The 22710-nt window shown below is 41.0% G+C and overlaps 1 protein-coding gene across 30 annotated transcripts in view; it reads left to right on the top strand.

Moving 5' to 3' along the window:
* Positions 1 to 22710, top strand: part of KANSL1 (KAT8 regulatory NSL complex subunit 1) — a 195452-nt gene that overhangs the window by 39707 nt on the left and 133035 nt on the right. For 26 of the 30 annotated variants that reach the window (XM_047435800.1, NM_001405881.1, NM_001405861.1 and 23 more), the window contains one exon: positions 13429 to 14806. The exons of the other annotated variants lie outside the window; for them this stretch is intronic. In XM_047435800.1, the coding sequence (XP_047291756.1) occupies positions 13518 to 14806 (1289 nt within the window). In that variant the 5' untranslated portion in view covers positions 13429 to 13517. The remainder of the gene's footprint in view (positions 1 to 13428; positions 14807 to 22710) is intronic. 30 annotated transcript variants of the gene reach the window in all.

Below are 22710 nucleotides of genomic sequence, written 5' to 3'. Positions count from 1 at the left end.
ATATGTTTAATGGGATCATACTTGTTATATGGCTTGATCTTTTTAATTAGGGTTTTTTTTTTGTATTCCAGTTCTTCAGTGAAAGCATTGTGTATACATCTTTGAGTACCTATGAGAATATTTCTGTTGAATAGATTTCTAGAAGTGCAGTTGCTGGGTAAAAGTTTGAGCAATTACATTTGTGATTTTGATGGCTATTACCTTTATAATGCTGTGTAACCACATTTAATAATAGCTTAAAAAGTGTAGTTAAAAAGTTTCCTAGTCTGGGTACAGGTGCTTGGTCAAGTAAATAACTGGAACTTGTAGTGGGTGAAGCCTATCCTAGGTTCAGTTGATGCCTCTTCTTGTTAGGTGGTTGATCACTTCAGACATCCCCATTAACGTCCTAATGGATCTTCATCTGATGGGTTTAGCATAGAATGCTCAGGTTGCTTAACGTGTGTTGGTCTGCTGTCTGCCAGGCATTGTGCTGCTTGTAGGGGACAGAGATAAAACAAGCTATAACCCTCCTTTTTTAAGAAGTACATAGTTGGCCAGGCGTGGCGGCTCATGCCTGTAATCTCAGCACTTTGGGAGGCCGAGGCTGGCGAATCACGAGGTCAGGCCAGGCCAACATGGTGGAACCCTGTCTCTACTAAAAAAGACAAAAAATTAGCTAGATGTGGTGGCGGGTGCCTGTAATCCCAGCTACTCAGGAGGCTGAGGCAGGAGAAACGCTTGAACTCAGGAGGTGGAGGTTGCAGTGAGCCAATATTGTGCCGCTGCACTCCAGCCCGGGTGACAATGAGAGGCTCTGTTTCAAAAAAAAAAAAAAAAAAAAGTACATACTCTGGGGAAGAAAGAGACAAGACAAAATTGTGAGTTTATATTGTACCATGAGCAATAGCCAGGGTGTCATGGGGGTGCAGGTAAGAGCCTAGAGGGAGGGACCCCACCTCAACCTGGGAGTAATGGGGAATACTTGAAAGAGCATGTAACCTTGAGCTGAACCGTGAAAGAGTAGCATGAGTAAAGGTGCAGGGGCATAGAAGAGCCAGGAAACATATGTTTCAGGTGGCTGCAGTGAGGACAGGCTGGAGATGAGGTCTAATGTAAAAAGGGGACAGATAATGGTGTGTGGGGAATTTGGACTCATCCTTACTCTAGAGTCAGTGAAAGATTTTAAATGGTTAGATTTAGGTTTACCCCCTCCTTTCCTTTTTTCTTCCCTTTCTAATAATCATTTTGGTAGTGGACGCTAGATTAGAGGCTTGCTGAGACAGGAAGAAGGAAGAATAGTTGGGAGATTATTACTGCCTGAATTACTATAGTACATAATGAGGTTCTGCACTAGGGCATTGGCACCAAGGATGGAATGAATGTGCCTGTCATTCTGTGTGTTGCCAACCCTCACCCTCTGTGCACCACCTCACCTTTCAAAATTCAGTCAGTATGTCATCTTTTCTAGAAGCCTTCCTTGACCCCTTCAGGTGAAATACAGTACTTTATCAAGCTAGGCTACCTTCACACCTAATTTATATTTTACTATCTTGTATCTGGCATTTAGTAGATGTTTAAATTAAATATTTATGGTAAAAAGTAAGTTGGTGATTTGAGGTCATGATTAACTCAAATAGACAATGTTGAGGAGCAGGAGGAAGTTTTGGATTTGGTGTTGGGGCAGGGAATGGGTTTTGAATATGGGATGCTTGAAGTAGTTGTATAGGCAATGCTGAATTCTACTCATTTCTTTCTTTTTGTTTTTTTGGAGACAGTCTCATTCTGTCGCCTACGCTGGAGTGCAGTGGTGCCATCTCAGCTCACTGCAGCCGCTGCCTCCCAGATTCAGGTGATTCTTGTACCTCAGCCTTCTGAATAGCTGGGATTACAGGCAAAGACGGGGTTTCGCTGTGTTGGCCAGGCTGGTCTCAAACTCCTGACCTCAAGTGATCTTCCTGCCTTGGCCTCCCAAAGTGCTGGAATTACAGGCGTGAGCCACCTCTCCCGGCCCTACTCCTTCCCTTCCTTCCCTCCCTCCTTCCTTCTTTCCCTCCTTTTCTTCTCTCACCTCCTCTCCCCTCTCCCCTGTCTCCTCTCTCCTCTCTCCTCTCTCCTCCCCTCTCCTCTTTTCCTTCTTTTGAGACAGAATCTTGCTCTGTAACCCAGGCTGGAGTGCAGTGGCGTGATAACAGCTCACTGCGACCTCCACCCGCCAGGCTCAAGTGACCCTCCCACTATGCCCAGCTAATTATTATTTTTTTAGAGACTGGGTCTCAGTGTGTTGTCTAGGCTAGTCTCAAACTCCTCCTGGGCTCAGGCGATCCTCCTGCCTTGGCCTCCCAAGGTGCTGGGCTTATAAGTGTGAGCTACCATGGTAGGCCATCATTTAAAAAAAAAAAATTAGTGTTTTTGTTTGGGTGGCTTTTTTAGATGGGGGCTATGTTGCCTAGGCTGGCCTTGAACTCCTTGCCTGAAGCCATCCTCCTGCCTCCTGAGTAACTGGAAATACAGGCGCCTGCCACTGCACCCAGCTCCTACTCATTCTTTAGGTTTCAGCCTGGATGTTCTTTTTTCTGAAAAGCATTTTCTGACTCCGCCTACTTCTCAGCCTGTATGAGGATTGCCTCCATCCCCCAAATCACACAGTAGTGTCTCTCTTTACTGCTGCTTGTCATCCTTGTATGTACTTACTGTGGTGCTTTGAATACTCTAGGCATTTTAATATTTATTGGAGATACTCAGTAGGTAGTTGGTGTTCTTTGACTGACTTTCCTCTAAAGACTAAAATTCAGAATTTACTGTCAGGCAGTTAAGACCGTTTCAGTTTAAGCCTTAAACTATCTAGTGTAGTAGTTAAAAGCATCGGCTTTAGCATTATGGATCCTGCCCCTGCAACTTCATAGTTGTGTGATCATGGGCAAATTACTTAACTTCTTTGAGCATCTATAAAATGAGGACAGTAGTACTTACCTTACATTGTTATTGTGAAGATTAAGAGAATATATGTAAGATACTTAGCATAGTGATTGACATAGTAAAACGCTAATTAATGTTAGTGAACAACATTTGTAATAACCTATCCTGCACTCAGGAATGATTCCTTTAGTAATATAAAGCTTTTTCAGTTAAGAAGCCCTGTTGGCCAAGGAAATTGATAATGGTCTTGTGGGTGACACACATTATCTCTTTGTTTTATAGTAAAAATTTTGTCTCTCCTTCCCCATTGTATTCCACAACAAATCTACTTTTGTTCATATGTAAAATAAATACTTTGCAGTGCATTCCATAATGTAGCTTGCAGTACTTCATCACAAATCACTGTTCTTTTCCTCTCTTTCTCTTGAGAAGCTGTACATATACCACCTGATTCATGCAAGTTGTTTTGTGGATCATGCCCCACGTCTTTCCCATTATTTTGATTGTGTCAATTTTTTGATTCGTGTTTCCTCCTTTTTCTCTTCTTAGTAAAATCTTACACTTGAGGGCAACCCCCACGAGGCCTTTTTGACTTCTCTAGTCCAGTCATTTAGGGCTTACAGCACTTACTATGTACCAAGCTCTCGATAAAGTTAGCACGCTAAAGAAGGGTGCTGTTAAGGAATTTTGCTTGTCTTGGAAATAGAATTAGTTAACAATTAGGGAAAATTCAGATAATTTGAACTGAATGACAGTGACTTTAAGTGCATTATACAATTCAAGCAGGAAGAAAGTGATATGAATTGGAAGAGTCTAAGAAGTTTTTGTGGAGATGCTATGTATTGAAAAATTAGTAAGTTTGGGGACAAAAAAAAAAAGTAGAAGAAGGACCTTCCAGGTAGAGGTAGCAACATAGGCAAAGATACGGAGTTGGGAATCTGTGGGGAGTTCTGGGTCCGTATCAATTGATGTGCTTGCCCTGACGTTAAGTTTCATCTTGAAGAATTTGAACTCATTAAAAAGGTGTGAGGGGCTGGGTGTGGTGGCTCATGCCTGTAATTCCAGCACTTTGGGAGGCCGAGGCGGGTCGATCACCTGAGGTCAGGAGTTCGAAACCAGCCTGGCCAACGTGGTGAAACCCCATCTCTACTAAAATTACAAAAAAATTAGCTGGCTGTGGTGGCAGGCACCGGTAATCCCAGCTGCTCGGGAGGTTGTGGTAGGAGAATCGTTTGAACCTGGGAGGCGGAGGTTGCAGTGAGCGGAGATCGCGCCATCGCACTCCAGCCTGGGGGACAAGAGCGAGACTTTGTCTCAAAAAAAAAAAAAGTGTGAGGAACTTGTTCAGAGTAGGAAAGTGAGATGATAAAAAGGTAAAGGATAGTTTGGGGCACTGAGGCACTAGTCAGGAAGCTGTTGTGATAATCTAGACAGGAGCTGATGAGGACCTGGGCTAGACTGATAGTGTTAGAAGTATAGAGAGGACATACCAAACCTGAAAAGCTTCGTGAGAAAAGAAGGATTTCGTCACAAAGGAGATGAAATTATGAAGGAAAAGAGAGCTTTCTTTCCATTCTTTATAAGCCATCATGTTTTTGTTTGTCATATATTTGGCCTTTTTGTTAGACTGGCCCCTTCACATTTCTGGATTTAAGCTTTGGTAGAGACTTTGACTATTATTTTCTGGTTGAAGTTCTCATTGCATCCTATCTGGATTATTGTGGTAGCTTTTTTATTGGTCTTTGCCATCTATAGATGCCTTTTTACTTACTTTCAATCCATCCTACCCAACTGATCTCTCTAAAGCACAGTCTGATGTTTCACTCCCATTTAAAAAGTGTTTAATGATACTCTGCTGTCATTATTTTATATATACATATACATATATATGTGTGTGTATATATATATGTATATACTTTTTATTTTTCAGAGACTCGATCTCGCTATGTTGACCAGGCTGGTCTCAAACTCCTGGCCTCAAGCAATCCTTTTGCCTTGGCCTCCCAGAGTGCTGGGATTACATGTCTGAGCCGCTGCACCTGGCCTCTGCTGTCTTTGTTTGTTTGTTTTTGTTTTTGAGACAGAGCCTCTCTTTGTCGCCCTGGCTGAAATGCAGTGGCTCAATCTTAGCTCATTGCAGCCTCTGCCTCCTGGGTTCAAGTGATTCTCATGCCTCAGCCTCCCTAGTAGCTGGGACTACAGGCACCTGCCATCATGCCCGGCTAAATTTTTTATTTTTATTTTTATTATTTATTTCTTTTTTTGAGATGGAGTCTCACTTTTGTCACCCAGGCTGGAGTGCAATGGTGCGATCTCGGCTCACTGCAACCTCTGCCGCTCAGGTTTCAGCGATTCTCCTACCACAGCTTCCCGAGCAGCTGGGATTACAGGTGCCCGCCACCACACCCAGCTGATTTTTTTGTATTTTTATTAGAGGCGGGTTTTCACCACGTTGGCCAGGCTGGTTTCAAACTCCTGACCTCAGGTGATCCACCCGCCTCAGCCTCCCAAAGTGCGGGGATTGCAGGCGTGAGCCACTGTGCCTGGCCCCTCTACTGTCTTTAAGTCTGAATTAAGGCTATTAAAGGCTGTCCGTTAAGGATCTGGCTTCAAACTGCCTTTCCACCTTCATTCTACTATTTCCTCTATTAAAATATGCTTTGTGTTTTAAGCAAATTGTTAATTTTTTTTTTTTTTTAAGATGGAGTCTCGCTCTTGTTACCCAAGCTGGAGTGCAGTGGCCCGATCTCAGCTCACTGCAACCTCTGCCTCCTGGGTTCAAGCAATTATCCTGTCTCAGTCTTCCAAGTAGCTGGGAGTACAGGTGCGCGCCTCCACACCCGGCTAATTTTTGGTAATTTTAGTAGAGATGGGGTTTCGCCATGTTGGCCAGGCTGGTCTCCTGATCTCAGGTGATCTACCCGCCTCAGCCTCCCAAAGTCCTGGGATTATAGGCATGAGTCACTGCGCCCGGCCCAAATTGTTCATTTCTTTTAACCTTCAGAATGTCGCCTTTTCCCACACAGCGTTGCCTTTTCTTATGCCATTTCCTCTCACTAGAATGCCACATTACCATTCTCTTGTCCTAGCCTTTTGCATAATGACATTTTAGCTAATTTTCAAGTCTCAGCTAAAATTGCGGCAACTTCATGGACACTTCCCTAATCATCCTTCCTGCTGTTTCTTTCCGTCCTTTGTGTAGAGAAATGAGGTAATGGTGAAGGAAGAGGTTAGTAGAAGCCACATTATGGGCAAACTTTTCTTCCCCATCTGATTTTTGCTTTTGCTTTCAGTGCAAGTGTGGTTGTAATACTTGTTGGCCACCTGGATGACCTATTCCTTCCCCTTTGTTCTCTGCAGCTAAATATTTTTGCAAGGTGGATGCTTCCAGGTTATTCTTGTGTATCTGGAGTCTTGTCTTGGAAATTGACTGGGAATAAATGAGGTTTTCATTTGTGGGTGTGGAGTTAGTTCTGACTTACAGTATTTGAAGCAGCTGGATACGTTTTGCTTTTGAAAGAGTATATATATGTGTGTGTATAATCTTTAGGATATGGTTCTCTGTTGGGAGGTGTGATGTTGAACCCCCCAGCTCCCATATTTGACATGTCTGGAGACATTTTTGATTGTCATAATTTTCAGAAGGGCACTACTAGCATCTAGTGGGTGGAAAACAGAGATGTTGCTAAACATGCTACTGCCAGGATAGCCCCCTGTGATAGATTACTCATCGTGAGATGTCAGTTAGTGGTTAGGTTGAGAAACTCTATCCTAGAAGTATATTTTTGCTTCCCAAGTGCCACTTGTGTTAGGTAGAAGTTTGTCCTTGGACCGATGGTGCAATTTAGAATAATAGAATTAACATAGGAAGGGACCCTAGAGGTCACATATTTGAACTTTATCCCAACTTGTATTTCTCACAATGATGTTTCTGCTTGATATTAATAGATGTAATGGAAAAAGGTGCTTGTTAAAAAAGTTTGGTAAAGGTAAACATTTGCATATTCAGTATGATGCAATACGTTGTGAGTCTCCATCTGGGAAGTTTTTCCGAAATGTATTTGCTTGCTGAGTGCATTTAACATCTTCCAGACCCTAAAATACTTCTTTGAAACTGAGAGAGAAACTATTGATTATCTAGCCCAACCTTTTATAGCTAAATGACCTTGAATAGGTAGCCTTTTCTTTTATCTGTACAAGCTTACTGCAGAATCTCAATTTGTGTGAGTGACAGCAGGTGTAGCAGCTCCATCTGTATTTGTCAGATTATAGTTTACTAACTGAATGAACTAAAAATTGGGATATTTGGGGCTTGAATTTTTATTCTGAATGTACAGTCTGACTTTATCCCCACCGGTAAATTAGAAATTATAATCTCAGCCCTAATTCTACTGCCCAGGTTGTTATGAGGATTAATCAGTTAATTATAGCTTTTAAGGCTTTGTATTCTTTGGAGAAAGATGATTTATCAGATAGGCTGTTGTGCTGTTTGTGTAGAACTGCTTCCTTTTTTTGTTTTTCGTTTTTTTTTCCTTTAGCCCTGAGCTTCTCTAAGAACTGCTTAAATTTGACAGTCTTTCCCTGCTTTACATTGTCAAAGATTGAAGCTTTTTGAATTTTGTAGGGGTCAAGTGGGATAGGAATCATTGTTTTGCTCTGTATATTAAATTTAAGAATGTTACTATGGGCCGGGCGTGGTGGCTCATGCCTGTAATCCCAGCACTTTGGGAGGCCAAGGTGGGCAGATCACGAGGTCAGGAGATGGAGACCATCCTGGCTAACATGGTGAAACCCTGTCTCTACTAAAAATACAAAAAACTAGCTGGGCGTGGTGGCGGACGCCTGTAGTTCCAGCTACTGGGGAGGCTGAGGCAGGAGAATGGCGTGAACCCGGGAGGTGGAGCTTGCAGTGAGCTTAGATCACGCCACTGCTCTCCAGCCTGGGTGACAGAGCGAGACTCCATCTCTTAAAAAAAAAAAAAGAATGTTACTGTGATTTTGTTTTACTTAGTTATTGGCTCTTTAAGAATTTCCATTGTTTTCTTTTTGTTTCTCTCCATTTTATTATAGAAGTAATACATGTTTATGGTGGAGACTTTACATAAGCCAAGAAACAAAAGACAAAAGAATCTTAACCAATGACTTTTTAAAGCAAAATTGAGATGATACTGTGTTTTGTTTTGTAACTTTTTTTCATTTAATAATGAAGCAAGCACTTTTCTATGTTAGTAAATATAGCTCTGCCACACTTAGGGTTGCACAGTATTCCATTGTATGGATATTTAATAATTTAACCGAGTTTTTGGCATTCAGTTTTCTTTTTATTATAAACAACATCATGAAATATTAAAAGTAAGTCTAGACATAACAGGGAAAAGATTAAAGTACTAAACTTAGGTGGTGGTTTATGGCAATTGTAGCTAATTGCAAACTAGGTGCATTAAAAAGCCATGGAAATTCATTCCTTCTATGTTTCCTTTTTGTTTCCAGTGTAATAAAAGTGCAAATAATACTGGGTGGTTGCTCCAGGTACGTGGCCAAGTAATTGAAAGTATCTTATTTCATCATCATAGCATCCTTGTCGGGAAGGCTCTGTTACTTGTAGATGAGGAGACTTAAAGAACAGAATAGTTAAGTAACCTACAGGAGGTGGAGCCAGGATGGGAACTGAGATTTGCTCACTTGAGTCAGTGCTCCTCTTACTTATGAATATCTTTGGGAGTAATGTTGAATCTTAGCATAGTATTTCGAGTCAATAAAGGTATGTCAAGTCAATAAATGGTATTTCTTTGGTATAGAAATCTCAAGATTTAGGAATTAGGAATGGGAATTTTTTCGGAAAAAGTGGTCACTTTTTCCTGTTCTCTGCACTCTCTCTCCTCCCCCACCCCCTTACTTAGATGATTGTTTTAGTAACTACACTATGCTGTGTATCCTATGGGGATATTGAGACCAAGGATAAAGTGCAAATCAAATAAACTATTGTCTTTGAAGTGTATATGTTAATGTCAAGTTCATAGACATCATTTCAGAGAAGTCTTGGAGTAGATGGGATTTTTTTTTTTTTTTTTAAGATGGAGTCTTGCTCTTGTTGCCCCGGCTGGAGTGCAGTGGTGCAATCTTGGCTAATTGCAACCTCTGCTGCCTGGGTTCAGGTGATTCTCATGTCTCAGCCTCCCAGGTAGCTGGGATTACAGGCGCTCGCCGCCACACTCAGCTGATTTTTGTATTTTTAGTAGAGACAGGGTTTCACCATGTTGACCAGGCTGGTCTTGAACTCCTGACCTCAGGTGATACGCCTGCCTCGGCCTCCCAAAATGCTGGGATTACAGGCGTGAGCCACTGTGCCCAGCTGGAGTAGATGGGATTTAAGCCGGCATTTTTTCTTAAAGTTGTAAGCTTTAAAGAATTGAATAATCTCAGAATAACTTTGAGAAGTTTACTACTTAAGCACCTTCTGTGATGTGATGTTAATTATGACCCTCTTTTTCATTTGTGCTGGAGTGAGCCTGGGTTTTCCTAAGTTTTATGTAAGTCATAAAGCATATTTGTGCCCTTGCTTGGGTCCTCAGAGGGAAGCTGTTTCCTGCCCTTGCTAAGTCTTACTGTAGTGCTGTCAGGCAGTAGGGTACAATTACTCTTCACATGTTGTATTAATCATCTGGCACTGATAATATGCCTCCTTGCATTGCTCATATCAACTACATATTGACATTCAAAAGGGGAGGAGATTGAATTGATGGGAATTATCTGGTAGTGATTTTCGTTTGTCCATGGGAAAAACCCTTTGCATATTATAAAAGTGACTCAAAATATTTTTAACAACTATATTGGTCCAGCTGTCAACTGGTCTATAACACAATGTTTAATAACAGGAATTAGTACTGTCAACTGGTCTGTAACACAATGTTTAATAATATATTAGTAATTAGTATTATATTTAAAGTTAGAAATGGGAAAAGACAACATAGAATAATTTGTGCCACACAGAATGCCATATGCCAGAAAGCCCACAGGAGAAAACTACATAAGCCCTGAAAATCTAGTTCATAAAGAGTGTTGGTTAAAATACAACCCTGGAACAAGAAACTTTTGGTGTTAATAATTATATGAGGCCAGGCACAGTGGATCACACCTGTAATCCTAGCACTTTGGGATGCTGAGGCAAGCGGATCACCTGAGGTCAGGAGTTTGAGACCAGCTTGGCCAACGTGGTGAAACTCCATCTCCATTAAAAATACAAAAATTATCTGGGCATGGTGACACATGCCTGAAGTCCCAGCTACTCGGGAGGCTGAAGCAGGAGAATCACTCCAACACAGGAGGCGGAGGTTGCAGTGAGCCGAGATCACGCCACTGCACTCCAGCCTGGGCGACAGAGCGAGACTACATCTCAGAAACACACACACACACACACACACACACACACACACACACACACACACACACACAGCAATAAGACAGATTCGACCCATATGTATATTGGTGCTTTTATGAATAATGTTTTCTCAGTCATTTATTTGAGTATTTTTATGTTAATGATTCAAATTGTCATACTATAAAGAAGCTTACTGTGGTCCTGTAGGGCCTACCATCCTGTGTTGGTATTGCTCCAAAGATAAGCATTTTTGATTAAATTGGAGATTGCCCTCATTTGGGGCAGGGAGGGGGGTGCTTAGTCCAGTGATTTCACAAGCATTTTGGTCTCAGGACCCTTTTTTAACTCTTAAAATTTGTTGAGAACAGCAAATAAATTGTTTTTCTTATAAACTTTGAGAAATTTAAAAAATATTTAATAAGTAATTCAGGCTGGGCATGGCGGCTTATGCCTATAATCCCAGGAGTTTGGAAGGCTGAAGCTGGGAGTTTGATAGCAGCCTGGGCAACAAAATGAAATTCCATCTCTACAAAAATTCAAAAAATTAGCCGGGCATGGTGGCACACACCTATAGTCCCAGCTACTAGGAGGCTGATGCAGGAGGATCACTTGAGCCCAGGAGGTTGAGGCTTCAGTGAGCCATGATTGTGCCGCTGCACTCTAGCTTGGGTGACAGAGCTAGACCCTGTTTCAAAATAACAGCAACAAATAAATGATTTGTCTTGCACTTAAACTTTTTACCCATGCATGATTTCCTGACATTCACTGGACATTTTATCGTTCACTGGGTTATGCAGATCTTCCAAATGTTACACATTACATTATATGCAATCAAAAATTCACGTTCATTAATATCGTCACAAGTCTGTTAAATCAGAAATGGCTTTTAAAATATTCAGAAAGTCCGAATGTGGCAGCTTAGGCCTGTAATCCCAGCACTTTGGAAGGCCGAGGTGGGCGGATCATGAGGTCAGGAGATTGTGACCATCCTGGCCAACATGGTGAAACCCTGTCTCTACTAAAAATACAAAAATTAGCCAGGCGTGGTGGCACGTGCCTGTAGTCCCAGCTACACGGGAGGCTGAGGCAGGAGAATCACTTGAACCCAGGAGGCAGAGGTTACAGTGAGCTGAGATCATACCACTGCACTCCAGCGTGGCGACAGAGCAAGACTCTGTTAAACACACACACACACATCCACACCCACCAAATAAAATATTGGGAAAATGTTTAAGTTCATGATTGTTGATACAAGTTTTCAAAAACACTAATCTTTGCCTAAAAAATTCAGATTTTATTATTGGCAGCAAATATCGTCAGTGGTCTTCCTTGAAGTGACAGGTTCACTTTGTTCATTTGCAAGGAAATGTCTGCTAGTGAAGCAGGTTTCAAATAATGTTTGTCAGTAGTTCTGCCAAGTAAAAATCGTGTTCCATGAACAAAGCTCTAGTTCATTTTGCAACTCAGTTGTACTGTGCTTTTTCCTGAGAATTCATAAAGCAGCAGAGTGCTTTATGCATACTTTCCCTTTCATCACAAAGAATATTTTTAAAAAATGCACTAAAGGCTCAAGATAATTCATAATTTTTGCTGTTCATCAAGGACATCTTAAGTGGAACTCCCTTAAAAAAAGAAAAACTGAGTGGAGAGTATAATGACTATTAGTATAGTTTGGTGCCTCTTCCTTGATTTGTGCTAATAATGTACCAGCAGTTTTGTTCACCTTTGTTTTTGTACTCTGATTGCAAATGTCAACACAGTGTAAAAGGCAGATAATATTCTAGTATTGCTATGAAAATACCTTTGATTTCACGAACCTCCAAAATAGCCTGTGAGATCCCCAGAAGTCCAGAGACCACACTTTAAAGAACAACTGGCTTAGTTCTTTACGTATGTTTCCTTTGGCTCCCAGACCACATAGATCAAGGGGGATCAAACAGAGGCAAATGACTGAGATTTTTAGCTTGGTTACTAAATAAAAGCAGTGTCATTACTTAAGGTAATGAAACAGGATGCGGAATAGTGTGCTGGAAGGAGAAAGTGAATTCTGAGCTTCAGGGGGCTTGAGGAACATAGAGGTTATAGGAATCTTGATTAGTGCAGCTCAGAAGTTTTTCTTATGGTTAAGAAACCTCACCATACTAGTGGTTGTTGAGAGAGAAGAGGGCAGAAGGGACCTTGTGCAGCACCAGCATTTAAGGGTCCAGGAGGAAGAGAAGAGGATGATAGTACAAGGACATCAGGAAAGAATTAGAAGAAGGTCGGTATTGTCCAGTGCTTCAGAGAAGTCAGATAGAATGGGGACTGAGGTTTGACCATTGGATTTGATAATAAGATTACTGGTCACCTTTGCCAGAGCAGTAGGGGGTGAAATCCAGATTATGGAAGAGTGAAGAGTGCAGAGACAGTTATTTATACTATTCTTAGAGAAGTTTTGGGGTAAAGGGAAAGAGAGATATTTGGGCAATTAAGTATGAGAGAGAGGCTGTACTGAGGGCAGAAGATACTTGAGTAAATTCCTAGGCTGAGAGGAAGAAGCCAGTAGAGAAGATATTGATGACCACTTTGATCTGAAAGAAAAGAAAACTGATGAAACAAGTTGGTATTACAGATGTGGTACAGTTAGCTTTGTAGTATAATCTATACTTCTAGAGAAGTGAGAAGCTGATGAAAACTGGATTCCCTGGCCAGAAAAATGCACAGACCTGTGATATTTGGCATACTTTTTTTAGTGAACACGGGAATTCCTTACTAATTTTTTTCTGTTTAATTATTGCTTAGTTTGATGTGTCTTGCTTTAAATCCATTTATTTCAACAAGCTTAAAGAGATTTTTTTTTAATGGAGATGATTTAATTTTAACAATCTGTGATTTTCTCTGAATCGAACTTGTGTTTTGGCACCTTTCAATCTGTGGTAACAAATGACAAGAAGGGTGCAATTCTTCCTTCCCTTGTGCAGGGATTTTGCCTCCCCCTTTCTCCCAGATGAAAGATATTTGGGTCTCTAGAATAACTGTGGTACAGTTAGCTCCAGAGTGTTTTCTTTCTGGAGGCAGTTTAGACAACAGCCTCAAGTAGTGCTTTTGTTAAAAATATACATGTTTTTAAAAGTGCTTGTATTTCTAATATTCTTTTCTCCTTTCTCTTCTAGTCTGTTCTCTGGGGAGGCAGTAAGGGGCCGTGGAGCTGGCCTCGGCCTCGGCATCGGGAGAGGCTGGACTTCCTGTCTCTCTGTGCTGAATGGCTGCGATGGCGCCCGCTCTCACTGACGCAGCAGCTGAAGCACACCATATCCGGTTCAAACTGGCTCCCCCATCCTCTACCTTGTCCCCTGGCAGTGCCGAAAATAACGGCAACGCCAACATCCTTATTGCTGCCAACGGAACCAAAAGAAAAGCCATTGCTGCAGAGGATCCCAGCCTAGATTTCCGAAATAATCCTACCAAGGAAGACTTGGGAAAGCTGCAACCACTGGTGGCATCTTATCTCTGCTCTGATGTAACATCTGTTCCCTCAAAGGAGTCTTTGAAGTTGCAAGGGGTCTTCAGCAAGCAGACAGTCCTTAAATCTCATCCTCTCTTATCTCAGTCCTATGAACTCCGAGCTGAGCTGTTGGGGAGACAGCCAGTTTTGGAGTTTTCCTTAGAAAATCTTAGAACCATGAATACGAGTGGTCAGACAGCTCTGCCACAAGCACCTGTAAATGGGTTGGCTAAGAAATTGACTAAAAGTTCAACACATTCTGATCATGACAATTCCACTTCCCTCAATGGGGGAAAACGGGCTCTCACTTCATCTGCTCTTCATGGGGGTGAAATGGGAGGATCTGAATCTGGGGACTTGAAGGGGGGTATGACCAATTGCACTCTTCCACATAGAAGCCTTGATGTAGAACACACAACTTTGTATAGCAATAATAGCACTGCAAACAAATCCTCTGTCAATTCCATGGAACAGCCGGCACTTCAAGGAAGCAGTAGATTATCACCTGGTACAGACTCCAGCTCTAACTTGGGGGGTGTCAAATTGGAGGGTAAAAAGTCTCCCCTGTCTTCCATTCTTTTCAGTGCTTTAGATTCTGACACAAGGATAACAGCTTTACTGCGGCGACAGGCTGACATTGAGAGCCGTGCCCGCAGATTACAAAAGCGCTTACAGGTTGTGCAAGCCAAGCAGGTTGAGAGGCATATACAACATCAGCTGGGTGGATTTTTGGAGAAGACTTTGAGCAAACTGCCAAACTTGGAATCCTTGAGACCACGGAGCCAGTTGATGCTGACTCGAAAGGCTGAAGCTGCCTTGAGAAAAGCTGCCAGTGAGACCACCACTTCAGAGGGACTTAGCAACTTTCTGAAAAGCAATTCAATTTCAGAAGAATTGGAGAGATTTACAGCTAGTGGCATAGCCAACTTGAGGTGCAGTGAACAGGCATTTGATTCAGATGTCACTGACAGTAGTTCAGGAGGGGAGTCTGATATTGAAGAGGAAGAACTGACCAGAGCTGATCCCGAGCAGCGTCATGTACCCCTGTGAGTAGACCTCATGCATGATAGCATTCTTGAGAAATGTTGGCACAAGGAAGAATGAATGAATCGCCATTATGGAGAGAATGTGATTCTTTGTACATAGGTGTCTAGGTTCTGTTTGTTTTTTCCCTGATGTTGGGTAGATGAGTGCATATACATGCTAGTGAAGAAGGGGAAGATACTTTTGCTGTAGGGTTGTATTGTTGTAGTCTAAATGGTGGTAATTTCCTTTTGAAGTCTAAGAAAAATAACTAGGAGACATCTTATGTGTAAAATTGTACTAGTACCTCTTTAAGAGTGAATTTAGATTTCTTTTGAAACTATATATAGGACATGATAAGTTAATGGCCTGATTGTTGAGATTTTGTTGTTTCCAGTAAGCAGGGACAAATGCTGAGTTGACCTAGTTACCTTTGTAGGAAATTACAGTTGCTTTTGATTGAACTTTCAGCAGAGAGCACACCCAGTCTTCAATTTTAACACTTGAGATTTTCTTACATTTTAAGGACTGACAATTAGAAAATGCTTCAGAATATTTAATACATCGCCTCCAAGCACAGTCTAGTTTCACAACCTGACTCTCTTCCTATTAAAAAAAAAAAAAAGCCCATTTTAAGCAGATTTGTTAAGCTGAGTTAAATGTATTGATGTATTTGGAATAAATTCTTACTGGGTTGTTTTTTTTGTTGTTTTTTGTTTTGTTTTGTTTTGAGACAGTTCCGCTCTGTCGCCCAGGCTGGAGTGCAGGAGTGCAGTAGTGCGATCTCAGCTCACTGAAGCCTCTGGCTCCTGGGTTCAGGTGATTCTCGGGCCTCAGCCTCCCTAAGTAGCTGGGATTACAGGTACCCGCCACCAAGTCAGGCTAATTTTTTTCTTTTTTCTTTTCTTAAGTAGAGACTGAGTTTCACCGTGTCGACCAGGCTGGCCTCAAACTCCTGACCTCGTGATCCGCCCACCTCATCTTACTGGTTTTTCTAAATCTGTTGGTTTGAGAAAATTTTACATAAGCTTTTTATGGGTGGCACTCCAAATTGGCATGGTGGAGACAGAGACGTTTCATTCCTGTCACTCCCAATTCAGCATCTATGTACTTAATTAAATAAAGCAGTACTATATTATAACATACTTAAAGATACATGTTAAATAAGTGCATTTATCTCCTTAGGAATATCAGATTTGAGAGAGAGCATGAGGAGTTGGAAAAGAGGGGCAGGATAATTGACTAGCAGATCTTTCATTTTCTCTTTGCTAGAGGCTGGCTTACTAGAGAAGGCTGAAAAAGATGAATATGTGGGAAGAATTGGTGTTTCCTTGACTGTATTAAAAGGTGATGAAGATTTTCACTGGAGTGTTTGGTTGTTGAGACAGCTATGATTTTTAAAAGTAAATTTTCTGGTTTCCCAATTTTGTTTATATTATCTGCATGGATATTGTATCTGAAATGAAACTTTTTTTTTCTATTTTGAAGGAAGAAATGGATAATTTTTGCTGAATTTCTTCCTTGTAGACCTAGTTCTATTATCATTTGTTAGTTCACTGTGCTCAAGTCCACTTCTGTATTTAGATTTAAAGCAAATGCTTCAGAGGCTTGCTTCTTCCGTAACCCATCTTTCTTTAAATGGATTAGTAGCTTAATTCAGCTTGCTAATATTCATGGCATTATCCCCACTAACTTTGCTGTTTAAATCACCGCTTTAAAAATATCTTGGTTAACGTTAAATATTTTGTGCTTAGAGGTATAATAAACACTGTAGTTAAAGGATTTTAAATTGCATGCACTTATTTTGAGTAACAGAAAAGCACCTAGACACTATAAGCGTATTGTTTTCAGGATACGTTGCATTGAAAACATTTCTGAGTTTTGGTACTGTTGTAGGTAAGCGTTACAAACCAATGAAATAAAAGTACCTGAGAATTTTTCTTATTCTGTAGGATAGTTTAATGACTTGGAAAAACCTTAAGGCCATTCATTCACTACTTAGTTCTGAGCATTCTTCTCACATAATGGTTTATGGTTTGGAAGGGTGTGAAGTGTATAAGAACAGCCAAAGGATGGCTTTTAGGAAACATTTTGGGATCAGTTGAATCCTCTTGCAATTAAATCAACTGATACTTTAAAAAGTTGAATTTTCATGCGTTAGATCATATTTGGGTACTGAAAGTACTCTGAAGTACATGCTCTTTTTGCACATTGTAATTGTATTTAGGGCCGGGCACGGTGGCTCACTCCTGTAATCCCACCCAGCACTTTGGGAGGCTGAGGCGGGCGGATCACTTGAGGTTGAGAGTTCGAGACCAGTTTGACCAACATGGAGAAACCCCGTCTCTACTAAAAATACAAAATTAGTTGGGCGTGGTGGCACACGCCTCTACATCCAGCTGCTCTGGAGGCTGAGGCAGGAGAATCGCTTGAACGTGAGAGGCGGAGGTTGCGGTGAGCTGAGATCGCACCATTGCCCTCCAGCCTAGGCAACGAGCGAAACTCCGTCTCAAAAAAAAAAAAAAATTGTATTTAAACTAAAACCACCAGTAAAGCATAAATACTTTAAAGTTCTTGTTGAGCAAGATCACCGGGTTGACTCTTAAGGCTGGTATTTATTTAGCCAAGTGTTTGTTGATCTTCTGAGTGTTTTAAAGGTTTTCAGCAGTTGACCAGACAATGAGAATGGAGGCATTGCTTTAATTTAAAAAGAAGAAGAAAAAGTTGTTCTTTGATGCTGAGAAATGAATCCTAGAATGTAGTTAGTTAATTCTTCAGGAACTTGACCCAGCTGGTGAATTTTGGCTCCCCCCACCCTTCCAGTAGCTGGTCTGTATTTTACTCTTTTGCCCAAGATAGAGTGGTGGGCTAGGTTTCGTCTAGGCAGCCCTGATGAAAATATTTAGTAGAGGAGACTGTTGGAATGAGCTGTTTTTAAATGATGTTGCTTAAATTACAAGTGGATAGTTCTGTGGAAATTATAATCCCTTTCTTCACTAAGAATTCAATTGTTTTTTTCTTTCCCACCTCCCAGAGGAGAAACAGTGATCCATTCTGTGTCGTTGGTACATGCTAGCTATAGAATGATTAATTTTTCTATGTTGTTGAATGTTTAGCAAATTGTATGTTTATCATTGTATTATGCTTGACAGTAAACTATATTGCTAAATGAGACTTTAGAGAGAGTTTTTTAAATTAATTTTTATGGTTGACTGATTTTATGTCTGGTTTAAAAACTCTTACCCTTTTTGTTTTAAACTCTTCTTGGAAAATTTTCATGAAATATTTCACATATCTTCCTTTCTTGGTACAGTGGAAATATAACTGCTTTGAAAATTCTGCAGTACGTTGTGTTTGATATGATGTCACTAAACAATGATATTTCATCACTGTGGAAGGTACAGGAATTTAAATTTTATCTCCTTGATTATGGGATTAAGAAGGAAGCTGCATGCTTCCGTAAATATCTTAATGTTTAATTCTTAATTGTAGATGTAGAAATAAAAGCATTTAATTATCATATGTATGTAATGTACTTGCTGAGTTGTGCTTGCTCTTCTTTCTTTTATATTCTTTGTTTTTCCCTCTTAGAGTTGTTTTTTTTTCCCTGCAATTTTGTTTAATTCCTGGACCCATTCCACATTTTGCTAAATTTGCTTTTCATTTTCTGGGTCCTGTGCTTATAAACTTCTATATAGTAACTACTTGTTAAAATAATATTTTTTTTCCAGAAATTCTCTTAATTGTGCTCTTAAATCAGCAGTGTTCTGGGTACCTGGACCACATTATGTAGGTCTCTCTCTCCTAAGTTTTTTTTTTTTTCCTTTCTTTTTTTCTCTCTGTCCCCGAAATTTTTTTTTTCTTTTTTTTCTCCCAACCGTTACTCTAGGCTTATCTTGAAGTTCAGTATAAAAATAACCTCATAAAACATTTCATTGTGATTACTGAAATATTGTTGAGGATATTCTCTGTATTCTGCAATGCCTTCTTTATAAAGACCTCAGGGAGAAAGATGTGCAGCCAAGAATAATTGTATGTTTGTCTAAGCTTTTAGTCTGTTTTTATTACCTGGGTGCTGTAATTGTTCACTAGGTTTCTTTTTTCCTATTGACATCTGGAAATTTAGAGCTAAGCTTGTACCTTTTTAATAGCTTCATTTTGTTTCCCTATTTTCATGTTTTTATTTCTGGTTGAATTTATGCTAACCTGTGTTTTGTCTAATAGTCTCCTGAAGTCTGTTTCAGATCAGGGTTGGGTAAAAATAGACTATGGATGCAGTTCAGTGACACTAAAGCGCTTATTTGAATTTTGGATGGTCTTGATTGCAGTGAGTTTTCTCACCCTCAGGAATTTTTTTTTTTTTTGGAGACCGAATGTTGCTCTTGTTGCCCAGGCTGGAGTGCAGTGGCGCGATCTTGGCTCACTGCAACCTCTGGCTCCCGGGTTCAAGTGATTCTGCTGCCTCAGCCTTCTGAGTAGCTGGAATTACAGGTGCCTGTCACCACGCCCGGCTAATTTTTGTACTTTTAGTAGAGGCAGGGTTTTGCCATGTTGCTCAGGCTGGTCTCGAACTCCTGACCTCAGGTGATCTACCCGCCTTGGCCTCCCACAGTGCTGGGATTACAGGTGTAAGTCACTGTGCCCAGCCCTTTTTTTTTTTTTTTGAGACAGAGTCTCACTCTGTCGCCCAGGCTAGAGTTACAGTGGCATGATCTCGGCTCACTGCAATCTCCACCTCCCAGGCTCAAGCAATTCTTCTGCCTCAGCCTCCTGAGTAAGCTGGGATTACAGGCGCCCACCACCATGCCTGGCTAATTTTTGTATTTTTAGTAGAGACGGGGTTTCACCATGTGGCCCAGGCTGGTCTCAGAACTCCCGACCTCAGGTAATCCACCCACCTTGGCCTACCGAAGTGCTGGGATTACAGGCGAGAGCCACTGTGCCTAGCCCCTCCTGGGGAATTTTATCCTCTTGGAGTTTATGAAGACCTCATGGTAAAATGAATTACTAGTGTGTTTATAGGTTTTGCTTTTTAGATACTTTGGAATGTTCTATATTGTTGCTTTTGGTCTGGCTTGGTGGCTCATGTCTGTAATCCCAGCACTTTGGGAGGCCAAGGTGGGTGGATCACTTGAGGTCAGGAGTTGGAGACCAGCCTGGCCAACATGGTGAAACCCCGTCTCTACCAAAAATTCAAAAATTAGCCAGGCGTGGTGGTGCACGCCTTTAATCCCAGCTACTTGGGAGGTTGAAGCACGAGAATCACTTGAACCCAGGAGGCAGGAGTTGCAGTGAGCTGAAATCTCAGCTCTGCACTCCATCCTGGGTGGCAGAGTGAAACTGTGTCTCAAAAAAAAAATAAAAATACCTGTAATCCCAGCACTTTGGGAGGCTGAGGTGGGTGGATCACGAGTTCAGGAGATTGAGACCATCCTGGCTAACACGGTGAAACGCCGTCTCTACTAAAAATTCAAAAAATTAGCCGGGCGTGGTGGCGGTCCCCTGTAGTCCCAGCTACTCGGGAGGCTGAGGCAGGAGAATGGCCAGAACCCAGGAGGTGGAGCTTGCAGTGAGCCGAGATCGCACCACTGCACTCCAGCCTGGGCGACAGAGCGAGACTCCATTTCAAATAAATAAGTAAAAATAAAAATAAAAAAAAGTAACTCTTACTTGAATTTATTAAGAATACACAGATGATGTTGCCAAAGTGGCAATCAAATTGCTTTGTCATTTTTTACTTTTTATGTATGTTTGTATGTATGTATATATTTGAGAGAGAGTCTTGTTCTGTCACTCAGGCTGGAGTGCAGTGGCGTGATGTCAGCTCATTGCAGTCTCTGCTTCCCAGGTTCAAGTGATCTTCCTGCCTCAGCCTCAGGAGTAACTGGGACTACAGGCATGCACCAAACACCCGGCTATCATTTTTCTACTCTTTATCATTTCATAAAGTGGTGGGTTGGGAGGAACATCAGCCAGGATACCCAAGTCTTCTCAGCTAAACCCTTCTTCTGCTAAAAACTAGCTATAGGACTAATGTAACCATTTTTCTAATTAAAGTGAGGGAGCTGACCCTACGTGACCTTTAGGTCTCAAACTACTTTGAAATGTGACTGTTTATCTTTAAATAACATGAATGAAACTATTCTCATCACCATTTTTTTGCATTGGGGGAAGCTGAGGCAAAGAACCCAGCAAAGCACTGGTATAAGTTGAAACAAAACAGGTTTCTTGACTTGTGACTTAAAGCTTTGGTTCTTCTAATGCCTTCATTCATTTCTTTGGTTGATTTACTTTTCATAGTCCATTAAAGTGATTATCTTATTTCTTGATGTATGGGATAGAAATGTGGGAATAATTTCATTGTATTCTTACAGAATTTACTTCAGAGCTGAGTAAACTTTCATTTGTTGAACACCTTTGATTTAATGCCCCTTGGCTTTTCTCCTAATCTGCACATGACGTCAAGTGGCAGAAGTAGGAACTTGTGTTTTTTTCTTCTATTCTCTTCTCATTTTTTTCCTGAGAAGAAACGTAGGTAGTGAAAATCATTCTTAGTGCTTGTTGTGGGATTCTGAAGAAAGGAACTTAGGCATCAGGAATTTGGGTGTTACCCATTTACCGTAGATATAGTTGCTATAGTGTTTTCTGCCACCTTGTGATTGTTGTTTTTGTTCTCTGAAGTGAACGTACTCTTTTATGGTAGTGTTAAAGTCATATAATAAGTACTTATGGAGTAAGTAAATGTGTAAGACACAAGAGATAACAGATGAATAAGCTAAGTTTGTATCCTCAAGAAGTTTAAAGAGTGAAGGGAGTGAAGAACTTAGTAAGACAAAGATGAATGTTTAGAACAGTGCCTGGCACTTAGTGATGTTAGAAATGAACCTTGAAGGTTGGCAAAGATTTTGATAGACAGTTTTCTTTTGATTGTGACCTACTGAGAGGTCAGTATAGGCAGAAAGCACAGGGCACACAGAGAAGACAAGTTGAAAGGTATAGGGCTTTGGTGGCACCATGGGAATGGGATATGTTGAAGACATAGTATTATAGGTACAGATGGTAAATGTAATGTGAGAAGAAAAAGAGATAATTCCAGAAATGATGTAGAGGTAAATTGAATGGGACTTAATAACTGTGATGTGTGGGGGCAATGACGGGAGGGATCATCATAGGTGATTGAAGTTTTAAGCCTGGCTGACTACAGCAATAGATGGTTACCAGAAGCATTTCAGTACTCAGTTTGCAAAATAATCTTAAGAGCTCATGAGAGTCCAGGTTCTTTACTAGAGTCTTAAAAATGAAGGTTTCTGTATTCCTTACAAGTTCCAGCAAGTGTTAAAAATGAGGAAATGGCTGGGTGCAGTAGCTTGAGCCTGTAATCCCAGCTCTCAGGAAGTTGAGACAGGAAGATGGGTTGAGCCTAGGAGTTCAAGGCTTGGGTAAGCTATGATTGTGCCACTAAACTCCAGCATGGGCGACAAAGTGAGACCCTGTGTCTGAAAAAATAAAAAACAGTGAGGAAATAAGCTTCCAAATAATCTTCTATAAATGGGGGAGGAGTTGCTCTGTAGAGACCTGAAAACCTTCATTGGAGGAGTTTGGATTTGATTAATTCATTCATTAACTCTACATTGAATGCCTGCTACATGCTGGGATGCTAGGGATCCAGTGGTTAAGAAAGATACAATCCTTGTCTTGCCCTCATGGGGAATATAGATTAGAGAGAGATTAATATTTAAGCGGGTAATTACATAGATGATATATTTATGATTGTTGTGGGTGCTACAGGAACAAAGTTCAGAGTGATCTGAGGGTGCATATTGGATATATCTAGGCAGCATGTGATGGGGATGTGATGGTGAGTCTTCTGAAGGAAGTGACATGTAAGCTGAGACCTGAAGGATAAGAAGGAATTGGTGGGTGAGAA

Source organism: Homo sapiens, chromosome 17 (assembly GCF_000001405.40).
Source record: "Homo sapiens chromosome 17, GRCh38.p14 Primary Assembly".
In the NCBI taxonomy this organism is placed as follows: Eukaryota; Metazoa; Chordata; class Mammalia; order Primates; family Hominidae; genus Homo; species Homo sapiens.
The sequence above is the reverse complement of the archived record's forward strand: the minus strand, read 5'-3'. Positions and strand labels throughout refer to the sequence as shown.